This window comes from Homo sapiens, chromosome 3 (assembly GCF_000001405.40).
Source record: "Homo sapiens chromosome 3, GRCh38.p14 Primary Assembly".
NCBI lineage: Eukaryota > Metazoa > Chordata > Mammalia > Primates > Hominidae > Homo > Homo sapiens.
This window is the reverse complement of record NC_000003.12, coordinates 194,412,582-194,425,045: the sequence shown is the minus strand read 5'-3', so window position 1 is coordinate 194,425,045 and position 12,464 is coordinate 194,412,582. Positions and strand designations below refer to the sequence as shown.

Genomic DNA, 12,464 nt, shown 5'->3' with positions numbered 1-12,464 from the left:
TTCCTCAGCCCACTGTTGGGTGAGTTAGGATCGGGGGCGGAGACGGAGGTTCCTCAGCCCACTGCGGAGGGAGTTAGGAATGGAAGCGGAGACAGAGGTTCCTCAGTTGGAACAGTAGGTATTATACTTTCCTCCCGGGCGGTCTGCGCAGCATCTGCCATCTTCTTCATTTCCGACGCTGGTGTGGCCTGTGTTCACCTCTGGGATTCTTCATTTCTAGTATCTTTGCATGCTATTGCAGAAAGGGCCAGTATACTGAATGGAGGCCTGTGCCCTTGTGGACTTGTCTATGGCAATAGAATATACCATTTTGATTGATCAAAATTAGAGTTTATGGAAAAAAATCAGTTACTACATATAAATTGCCAATTAAAAAAAATTGAGAATACACTAATATATGGAACAACTTTTAGACTTCTGCAGTATCTTGGAGCAAATAGCAATTATTCTTTTGCTGTAGTTATGACTAGGTGGCAGTGTTCTAGTTGGCAGGTCACAGGTATCGGTATGTCATAGGAATCACAACTATTAGTGTCTCTGTCTCATATTAGCATTTATAAGGCATTTTCTCATACATTATCTTATTTGTCACTTCTACCCTGTTGGTTTGTAGGGCAAGTTTTATTACTTTATATTTTGTGCAGGTAAGATTACAATCTGATCTCACTGGTAATTTTTCCTTTTTTTTGCCCCCTTTTTGGAACTGATGTTTCTTATTTTAAAAATAACTATATTATTACTTATTTATTGTTATATATTGCTATATAACTATACTAATAACTGTGTTACTAAGAACTTTAAAAAATAACTATTATTTTAAAAATAACTATATTATTTATTAGTTGTGTATTGCTGTATAACCATACTAATAACTATGTTACTAAGAACTGTATTAGAACCATGCTACAGGATGAAAAACCTTCCATGGAAGGTTTGCCACGGTATTTCTAAAAGGATTTTTTACTACAGATAACTTATTATAAGGTGCATTTAATCATTAGCATTGGTATACATTTTATTCAACATTTTTAAATTTCAAGGAAATGTTGAACACATGTAAGGGTAGCTGAAAACATCTAGGAAAAAACATTGCTTTTTTTTTTTTAATTTGAAGAAAACTGGTATTCAGACTGGTTTGCAAGCAAGACAGCTCTATCAAGAAAGTTAATTTTAGAGATCTACCCTATCCACACTGTTAGAATTAAAAAAGAGAAAGGGAGAATATTAGTTGCCTGTTTCTAAAGATGCATCTTCTATATGTTTGGAAAACTTATTAAAAAAGGTTTAAGAAATTTTGTTTTCTCGTTTAATTTCCAATTTACTAGAATAAATAATAAACACTATTTTTGGCCACTGGATGATTTAAAAATGTACTAAGATTATATTTAGCAGAAATATAACCATAAAACTCGATTGCCGTTACTGTCAGCAGCTTGTGTACTTCTCTCAGTGGGTAAACAGAAGCACTTGCTGTTGTAAAGCATGCCTTCTGAAAAGTACGAAAGGAGCAGTGCAGTTGATGCAGGCATTCTGCCAGTTTTCACCTCTTGTCTGTGTGTCACTGGATCCATGCAGAGTCCTTTCTAGGACCTGTCTGTTAGTTTTCACCTCTTGTCTGTTTGTCACTGGAGTCCATGCAGGGTCCTTTGCTAGGACCTGCCAGTTGTTGCTCTCTATAAATGGTGTGTAATATATTAAAAGTATTTTGAAGTTATGATTTTTAAGAATTAATCTCAGCCTTAGGCGTTTAAGGAATTCTCTTTAGAGTTTTTTGCTTTCTTGTACTGGTTCACTTTTAATCTAAATTAAACTTAACTTCAGTCTGTGTGGTTACCTGTTTTCAACTTGAGCTTCACAGTTACATTTTCTCATTCAGCTGCCTTCATTTCAAGGGTCATGATATGCACTTAATTCTTAACACTCTCCTTTAACTAGACATGATTTCTTGGGATTTGGCTTCAATTTTTAATGCAGTTTCTTGTTGGATCATCCCTACAGTTTATTGCTTGTGCTATCTAATCCCTTTGTCTATGAAGGCATTACTACTGAATTGCCAGGGTCTTTCCTATTCAGGGCCTATGTATCTTTTTCCTATTCATCTAGCATGCCTAAATTGGTTGAAGCCATTCAGATACCTAGAGGCCCTACAGAATAAGGTGACCTTTTAAAGACATAACTGGATAAGGGGAGAGGGATAGGAATAAAAAGGCTTAGGATTTGTGGCTGTAGGTTAGTTAGTACTAGTTATTGTTTGGGGAAGGAACAAAGAGATATATATTGGGGTAAATATTGTATGTGTGTCTACCTTATTTCGGAGTCACTAAGGAAAATATGAAGGAAATCCTTTCTGGTACCTTATTTTGATACCATAGTCCATCGGTGGCATCTGGTATCATGAACAGCACATCATATGTTGCCACAAGCTGAAAAATATTTCATAATAACTTCAATTTACATGTTGCTATATACTTTGAATACTTAAAAATCTCTTATTTCCTACAGAATCCTTATCATATCCCCATTTTATAGATAAAATAATTTGACTGTAAATGACTTGTTTAGATTCACATAGCTTTGTGGAAGAATCAATCTAAAACAATCTAAATCTTAAGGAACACCCTTGACCCTGGCCTGCAGTCACCAGTGACACACAGTTTGTTTTGATAGCTGTCTTCTGGTGAAGAATGTTTACACTTTAGTACAATTACTAAGCCATTGCTTATAATGCTAGGAGAATCTAGGAGCTGAGAGCATAGTCTACAAGAAATTCATACCTCTCTAAAGTGAATACCTAATTCTTCTATTCTTGGTTGAAATCCTTACTGATTTTAAAATTTGGTATGGTTGTATGTCTGCCAGCCATCCTTCTCTCCCCTGTCACTTAGTGTCTTTTTTGGATAGTGCCTTTTTTTTTTCCTCCAGGCTAAACAAAGATAGATTCAGTTACTTATCTTCTCTCTCACATGGAAATCTTGGCAGATTTTTAGAGGTGGGATCCAAGAGGTGGCTCTGGGAGAGACATGAAAATTTGAGAAACAAACATTGTTTAGGTAGATGTAAAGAAGCTTCTGTGCTTGAGTAAATTTTTTTTTTTTTTTTTTGCCAACGACACACATGTCAAGAACCAGGTCGCAAATCTGTTTTTGCTGTGGTTTGAAAAATGCAATCAGATTTGAAAAACATGCAATATGGCTTATTACTTCATTGAATTTCTTTTTTAGTCTCCGTGTTTCTCTCTGCCATTTATGTTCTGACCATTGCTTTTTGTCCTTTTTCTGATTTTGTCTTTTTTCTTTTCTGTTTTTATATACTTCCAACCACCACTTTCCAAACACTTTTTCCTTATCTGACCATAACTACTTAAATGACCATAGAACTTACATGATACTTTAGTTGCTGCATTTGTGAAACAGGATGTCACATTTCCTATTTACAATTTAGTAGAATTACTTTTTACCCAATATGAGTCCCACTTTTTTTTTTTTTTTTTTTTGAGATGGAGTCTCGCTCTGTCACCCAGGCTAGAGTGGAGTGGCGTGATCTCTGTTCACTGCCAGCTCCGCCTCCCGTGTTCACACTATTTTCCTGCCTCAGCCTCCCGAGAAGCTGGGACTACAGGCACCCGCCACCACGCCTGGCTAATTTTTTGTGTTTTTAGTAGAGACAGGGTTTCACCGTGTTAGCCAGGATGGTCTCGTTATCCTGACCTCGTGATCCGCCCGCCTCGGCCTCCCAAAGTGCTAGGATTACAGGCGTGAGCCACCGTGCCCAGCCCCACATTTTTTTTAATCCTTTTGGTCAGTGGCTCATGGTAAAAAATATGTCTCCACCTTTGGTATAAGTGTTAGTGTAAGTTTCAGCCTAAGCTACTAAAACTATATATATATATATATATATATATATATATACTATATATATATATATATATATACACCCTACACACTGGTATATATAAACATAAAAATAATATAGTATAGTTTCTGTAGAATGATAAATATTTACCTGTAGTTTTGAATTGATATTAACAAAGTTTATATTTACAAATAACATCCACGTTTAAAAATGGCACTGAGACCCTTCATTTACAGTCAGTAAAAAGTAAGTTCTTTACCCAGTCTGGAGGCTTCATGATAAAGTTTTTGTATGTGGTCTTAGTAAAGTTTGAGTTTGAAGTGGAGTTCAAATAGGAAGTTGTAAATAAATGTCCAGATCAAAGGAAAAGGGGAAAAAAGTTTGGGCTATCAATATATTAGAAAATTTTGGAGCCACTTTTATGGCTTATTATTATACAAGTATATGCTTATATACATGTGTGTATATGTGTAGATGTACACACTTAAGAAAATGGCCATGAGCAAGCAGTTTGGTTTTTGAGTTAGGAAAGTGAGACAAAGTACTGCTGGGTGGATTTGCCATTCCCAGCTCCCATAGCAAGCCATAAGGTCAGCCCACTTTGAAAAATAGTAGATCAACTCAGTCTCTTGGCTTTTGGCTAAGATTTTCTGTGAAAACATTTTCACAGTGTAAATCAGTGAAAAAATGGGATTCACTTACTAGAAATACATTTACATTTAGGTTAGAATGCCTCTATTTAGGATTAAGACATACCCAATACTGAAAATAAGTGTTATTCAGCATTTTTACAGTCAATAGTAATTGTCATTGAATACATGTTTTAAATGATAATCTCATTTTGCCACACATAGTTTAGTCTCTTATTTGTGCATTATGTATTGGCTTTATTATCTTACAAAGTAGCTATCCATTTGGGCGACATACAAATGTCTGTGAAGGTCTGAGTCTTATTTTTTTAAGTGCTGATTATTTTCTGAAGGACTTTCACGGTTAAAGTTAATGGAGTTTAAACATAACATCACGTTGTGTATGTGAATCTTTTGGGTGCCCCGAACAATGTCTCATACTCCAGGAGATAACAGAGCACATACTTTATTCCATCAACTGAAGTGAAAGTATTCAAAACCAAATTTACAAATGACAGTATACCAGCTGTTATTGGATGCCTTTTTATATAAAGGAATTTCCTAATTTACTTGTTTTACTTTTGCTGTCTTTTCCAGATTTTTTTGTTTTTTCTGTGATTTTTTTATATATTTTTATATTATTCATCATGTTGTATCCAGTTGCCTCTGTTGACCAGGTTCTTCAGGTAAGACTTAAGCACATCATTTGTTTGGGGAAAAAGACTAACCTGTATACATTTCTTTTTTTCCAGGATCTCTTCTTTTTGTGTATTCTAAGATGCTGTTATATTAACCCAAAGATACTCTACAGAGAATAAAGAACCTAATGAAAATAGCAGCTTTTCTTAGCTATACCTGTTTAATCTCTGCTTCTGGTGCCGTTTTCATTTGTCTGCAAACAAATTAAATAGCCCTTGGTCTTTAAAAACATAAAAAAACGTTGATCCTGGTACCTGTTACTCCTCTCTTCTCTACCAGTCTACTTCTTGAGTAGTCTACACATGCTCCCTTTTGTGTTTTGGCCATTTAGTTCTTCAATTCTTTTCATTAAAAACTTTCTGAGTAATGAAATACTTGTTTTTCATACAAAAGAATATGCACACATATTTAAGTTGTTAGCCATAATTAAAAAATAGTAAAGAGATAACACCCTGAGTGTATCATCCAACCTGAAAAAATGAACATTACCTGAGCACAAGTCAGTGACAAAAGAAAACAAAAAAAAGGTAACGTTACCAATCAATAAGGCACTCTCATGTACCTGTTTTGATGATTTTCCCTGTCATTCCCTGTTTCATTATATACTTACCATATATGTTTGCAGTCATAAAAGATAGTTTTGTGTGCTCTTGAACTTCATGAAAATGTTATCTTGTTCCCTTTTTTCTGTGACTTGCATTCTCCCATCAACATTGTTTGTTGATACATTATTTTATTTTCATTGCTGTATAGTATACAATTGTAGGAATATATTAAATTCATTTCTCCATCCTCTGTTGGTAAATAATTACTGAACATATTGCTGCTATGAACATATTTTTACATGTCTTTCAGTGTATGGGGGTAAGTAATAGTGTATGAAAGAGTGGAGTAGGAGTGGTTTATCCCAGGTACAAGCAGTGAGAGAGTGGTGCGATGCTGTAGAGAATTTGCAAACAGTGATTAAGCCCAGTAGAAGTCCATCTGCTTTTTAAATATTGCCATGTGCTGGTAATTCCAGACACTTCCAGTGGTAATATACTCCTTCCACTACTACCCTTGGCAAACCATTAGGGACAAAAGTTTCCTCTGCTGTATTCTGGTATCATGATGAGCATGTACTCTTCAGCTACCACGTGCCAAGTTGTTTTCCAAAGTGATTGTATCAATCATCCATCAGTGTTTGACATCCTGTTGTTTCACATCATTGCCAACACTTGGTCTTGTCCAGTGGGTGTAAAATGTTATATCATGATGGTTTTACTTTGCTCATTAACTTTACTAATGGAGTTGAGCATTTTTTCATGTGTTTAATGGCCATTTTTATTTTCTCTGTGAACTGCCTATTCATGCCTTTGGCCAATTTTTTCTAGGATGTTGTCTTTTTTAAAAATTTTTAGGATGTTGTCTTTTTTTTAAAACTTAGTTTTCAGAGTTCTTAATGTATTATATTTGACTGTATAGTGATAAATATCTTCTCCCAGTTTGTGGCTTGTCTTTTTACTTTGTTTATAATATCTCTTTTTAAAAAACAAACTTATAGTCTGACATGGCAAATTTATTAATTTCTTTCTTTATTTGTTCCTCGTGTCTCAGTTTGGCGGACTTGTCCATCTCAAAGTTATAAAGATACTCTCACATTTAGTCTTTAATCCATCTGGAATTAATTTTATGTATAGCTTTTGAATAGGGATCAAATTTCTTTTTCTTTTTTTCTCTTACGCATACCCATTTGTTTCAGCAATTGCTTATTGAAGTTTGTCTTTGCCACTGATATTCAGTGATACCTTTGTCTTATATCAGTTTCCTTCCTTCCTTCCTTCATTCCTTCTTTCCTTCCTCCCCCGCCTCCCCTCTCCTCCCTCCCTCCCTCCCTCCCTTCCTTCCTTCCTTCCTTCCTTCCTTCCGTCCGTCCGTCTGTCTGTCACCCACGCTGCAGTGCAGTGGTATGATCTCAGCTCACTGTGGCCTCGACCTCCTGGGCTCAAGTGGTCCTCCCACCACAGCCTCCTGAGTAGCTGGGACCACAGTTGTGCACCACCACACCCAGCAAATTTTAAAATTTTTTGTAATAAAAATTATAAATGGGGTTTGTAATGGGGTTTCACTGTGTTGCCCAGTCTGACCCCCAACTCCTGGGCTCAAGTGATCCTCCTGCCTCAGCCTCCGAAAGTATTAAGATTACAGGCATGAGCCATGGCGCCTGGCCACAGTTTTCCATATATATGACTAATAGTGTTTTAGGGACTCCATATTTTGTTGTTTAGTTCTCTTTATTTGTGCCAGTACTATATTGTCCATGCTACCATGACTTTATAAGAAACCTTGATACATGCTTGGGTAGGACTCCTACCCCCCTCTCACATTGTTGTTCATCATGACCTTTTTGGCTGTGCTTGAGCTTTCCTTCTTCCTCCTTTTGTGTGTGTGTGTGTGTGTGTGTGTGTGTGTGTGTGTGTGTGTGTGTGTCAGAATCTGGCTCTGGTACCCAGGCTGGAGTGCAGCCCACTGCAAGCTTTGTCTCTCGGATTCAAGCGATTCTCCTGCCTCGGCCTCACGAGTAGCTGGCACCTGCCACAACGCCTGGCTCTAATTTTTTCTATTCTTAGTAGAGATGGGTTTTCACCATGTTGGCCAGGCTTGTCTTGAACTCTTGACCTCGGGTGAGCTCCCTGCCTTGGTGAGCCACTGTGCCCAGCTAAGCTTTTCTTCTTAACTTTTAAGTTTAGTTTGTCAAATACCAGGAAAAGCCCTTTCGGAACTATTAGAATTACACAGAGTTGATCAATAAATTTTGAGGGTGAATTCATTAGTTTTCCTTCCCACAAACAGTATCTCGTTCTGTTTCTGTCTTTTTGACCTAATGTCTTTCAGTAAGTCAGATAGTTTTCTCCCTAATGGTTTTTGTACATTTTTTGTTAGATTCTTAGAGTAATAACAGTTTTTGATCCCTTGATAAATTATAATTAAAATGACATTTTCTAATTTTTTATGTTGTTGAACTCAATACAGTTGTTTTAGATATTCATCTTGTTCCCAGAAGCCTTATCAGACTTTATTCAGACACATTTTAGATTGTCTAGGATTTTCTGTTTAGACAGGCATCATATATAAGTAATTACAAGCTGTAATTACTTACTTGACTCCCCAGCAGTTTGTTTCTGACATTTCACAGTCTTTATGTGCTTTTTCTGTATTTTTCATGTCTTAATATATTAGTTATAGTGATAGTGATATCCTTGTCTTACTCTTGTCTCTAAAGGACGTGTTCCTAATAGTTCACCATTAGATAAACTGTTTGCTGTATATTTCTAGTGTATAGTCTTTATCAGGTTAAGGAAGCTTCCTTAGTTGTACAGTGTTGTTAACATAAGTGGTTTTAAATTTTTATCTAATGCTTTTTTTTTTGAGATGGAGTCTCGCTCTGTCGCCCAGGCTGGAGTGCAGTGGCATGATCTCGGCTCACTGCAACCTCCACCTCCCGGGTTCAAGCAATTCTCCTGCCTCAGCCTCCCAAGTAGCTGGGATTACAGGCGTGTGCCACCATGCCTGGCTAAGTTTTTGTGTTCTTAGTAGAGATGGGATTTCACCATCTGGCCAGACTGGTATCGAACTCCTGACCTCACGATCCACCCACCGTGGCCTCCCAAAGTGCTGGGATTGCAGGTGTGAGCCACTGTGCCCAGCCAATCTAATGCTTTTTCTGCAGCTATTGAAATGGTCACACAGTTTTTCTCCCTGAAGAATGTGATGAATTATAGCTGATCAGTATTCAAATATTGAACTAACTTTGCATTTCTAGAATAAATTCAGTTTGGTCATGATGCACACTCTTTGAAATTTGGATTTAGGTTGCTATGATTTTGTTTTGGATTTTTGCCTCTGCATGAATGAGATCAGATTTAATTTTCTTTTCTTGTATGTTACGGACAGGTTTGATCTTAAAGTTATATAACTTAAACTTACAAAGTTTGTGAAATGAGTATTCCATTGCAGGGACTTTTTAGTAATTTGTTTAGTCCTGTTTTGCTGGATATTTAGGTTGGTTCCAGTGTTTTGCTATTAGAAACAATGTGGTATTGTAAGGAGAATGGTGTGAACCCGGGAGGCGGAGCTTGCAGTGAGCCAAGATCACACCACTGCACTCCAGGCTGGGCGACAGGGCGAGACTCCGTCTCAAAAAAAAAAAAAAAAAAAAAAAAAAGAATGTGGTATTGTAAATCCTTGCACACTTCAGTTACAGACAAATATATATTTATAGGCTAAATATGCAAAAGTGGAATTGCTTGGTCTGAGGGTATCTATAAATTTAATTTTCATAAATTCTGCATTATTGAACTTTGAAGATGTTCCAGGTTGTAGTCTTACCAGCAGTATATGTCTGTTTCCCTGCATATTTCATTGAGGGGTTTAGATAAGCACTTACAGTAAAAGAAGAAAACAAAATGCATTATATTTCTCTCCTGGTGCACATGTCTTCTGTTTCACAACCAACTTTTTCTTGAAATAGTACCACATTCAGCTCACCTCCCACACGTTCGTCAACTAATCTGGCATCTTCCCCTGCCAATCTACTGAAACGGCCCTCAGCAAGGCCGTTAGCCTCTTACTTGTTAAGTCCAATGGACTTTTCTCCCTAATGTATTTTTTTCCAGTCTTACTTGACTCCCCAGCAGTATTTGACGAGTTAGCCATGTCATCATTCTTAAGATACTCTCTTCTGAAATTTTGTGATGCTTTGCTGTCTTTTGGCCTTTTCTTAGCTCTGACTCTCCAGTCTCATTTTCCACTTTGGCTCCACTCCCTCTGCCCATTCCTTAAATGTTAGGGTTCCTTACATTTCTGTTCTTATTCCTCTGGTCACTCAATACATTCTGGTGATATCCCCTAGAGTCATGGCTTCACCTGTAATCACCATCTATATGTTAAAGGCTCCCAACCTTTATACCCTGAGCCTACCTCACTACTAAGCTTTAGACCTGCAAATACACTGATATATTGACTGTTACTTGGGTGTTCCACCCAACAGATCCCTCAATTTAAACATTTTAAGAACTAAGCTCATCATGTTCTCCTTCAACCCTTTTTCTTCTCTGTTTCTTGGTACCACTATTTATTCAAGTCAGAAGTGTGCATGCTTGTGTACATGCGTGTGTGTCTATTTATCTGTGCCTTTTCTTCCTCTTTCCGTAGCCAGCCATTTGTTAGATTCTTTCAGTTTTCTTATTATAAACCTTTCTGTCTTTACAACTATCCCATTTTTTAGGCCTTAGAAATTAATCAGATTTTAAAGTGAACACTTAGATTGTTTTTTCTTAACTTCATCTTTTTTTATGAAGTTGTCTTTATAATTGAGTTTTGACCAGTACTTCGTTATTAGATTGGTACCTCTTTTTTTTTTTTTTTAAGGCAGGTTCTTCTGTCACCCACGCTGGAGTACAGTGGCAGGATCTCGGCTCACTGCAGCCTCCACTTCCCAGGCTCAAGTGATTCTCGTGGCTCAGCCTTTTGAGTAGCTGGGATTATAGGCATGCACCACCTCGCCTGGCTAATTTTTGTATTTTTAGTAGAGACGAGATTTTGCCATGTTGCCCAGGCTAGGCTCAAACTCCTAGCCTCAAGTGATCTGCCCACCTCTGCCTCCCAAGATGTTGGGATCACAGGCATGAGCCACTGTGCCTGGCTGGTACCTCATTCTTTAAAGATGGGTTTTTATTTTGAAAATAGAAACTGTTAGACATTCATGATCTAGTAGAGCATGGGCTTTTGAATCTGAGTGAACAGGATTTGACTCTAACCTCAGTCACTTAATATTTTCTTTAACCTTGAGTTACTTAAACTTTGAGTTTTATCATCTGAAAGGGAATATAATATATACCGCGGGGCATTGTTGAGGATTAAGTAGATAATGTATATGAAGGTGTTTGGTACATCATAGGAATTCAATAAATTTAGAAATTATGATACAGTGCTATAATATTGACTACATACAACAATTTTAACTTTAAAATGTTTTTGCATTACAGATAGTGTGTGTACCATATCAGTGGCGTGTAACTATGCTCATCATTGTTCTTGTCAATGCCTTTGTGTCTATCACAGTGGAGGTAAGCACTTCCATAGTCAAATGGCTACCATGTTGCTTTGGAATTCTTGGGTGATTTAATGGTAAATGGGAGAAGAGGGCAGGTAATATAATGGAAAGCCACAGAGTCTCAGTTTCATCTCAGGCAAATTCATTTAGCCTTCTCTTGTGAACTTTTCCATGAATTGATAGTGGTCATATTAAGGGAGGTGACTTAGTTGCACTCACACAGATAGGAGAAAATAAGCAATGTGATAATAAAAATTAATGACGAGTAGAAAGGAGAGAAGTTTGGGGCCTCGGTGGCCCATGAAACTGATGAACCAGTGATTGTGAAATCAGAGTTGGCATGTGCCACCTGTGTTTTGTGATGTACAGTAAAATCTCCCATTTAAGGGAGGGGGGAAGGGGGAGGGCCATTCTCCAGGAAACACAGTGAATATTAATAGCAAGAGAGTTTAATGAAAGTATAAAATAATAATCGTTATGGACTTACCTAATTTCAGCATTGATTACTGGAACATCCTCCTTGGTATTTGCTTTTGAGTGACCTCTAGAGGTCTTAAGTACCCTTTGATTCACTGTATATTGTGTAGTTACCCTCCCGTTAGGATTGCCTTTAGGTTAGCGTCTCTAAAAGGAGGTAGCAAGTTCTCATTGGTGGCTTATTAATAAGCTTTTGTCTGCTCTCTGAACTACTATCATAATTGACTCTTACAGTAACTATAAAAATGGAAGAGAGAGATACAGTTGTGATTTTTAAGTTAAGAGTTTCATAGCACAGGCTTTTGGATCAAAATAAAGGTAATTTTTTTGAGAAATATATATGCATATATTTTAGTGATAATAGCTCTGGTCTTAGAAATTACACTTAATTTCAATTACCCCCTAAAAGATGACTTGGTATTTAAATTTGGGATATGATGGGCAGCATGGATATTATGGTACTGACCTTTTGAAGTTGCCCATTGAAATGTGATTTTTTTTCTATTTTATGGGTGCTAGGAAGCACATGTAAGATACTATATTCTTAAAATGTTTCTTTTTCTACAGTATCAGTTCATCTTTTCACAGAAATGTTACTTATTCTTACTACCTAAAGAATGGTTTGTGTTGGATGCTGATGAAATTATATATCTATAGATAGGGATATAGAATTAGTACTAGATATTCAATGAAAATAACCATTGTGAAGAAAG

At 36.8% G+C, this 12,464-nt stretch overlaps 1 protein-coding gene across 22 annotated transcripts in view; it reads left to right on the top strand.

Moving 5' to 3' along the window:
* ATP13A3 (ATPase 13A3) overlaps positions 1 to 12,464 on the top strand; it is a 91,658-nt gene that overhangs the window by 69,289 nt on the left and 9,905 nt on the right. For all 22 annotated transcript variants that reach the window (NR_164667.1, NR_164666.1, XM_047448912.1 and 19 more), the window contains 2 exons: positions 5,079 to 5,167; positions 11,207 to 11,287. Coding sequence is in view for 20 of the 22 variants with exons in the window: in XM_047448912.1 (XP_047304868.1) it covers positions 5,079 to 5,167; positions 11,207 to 11,287 (170 nt within the window). In the remaining 2 variants the exon portion in view is untranslated. The remainder of the gene's footprint in view (positions 1 to 5,078; positions 5,168 to 11,206; positions 11,288 to 12,464) is intronic.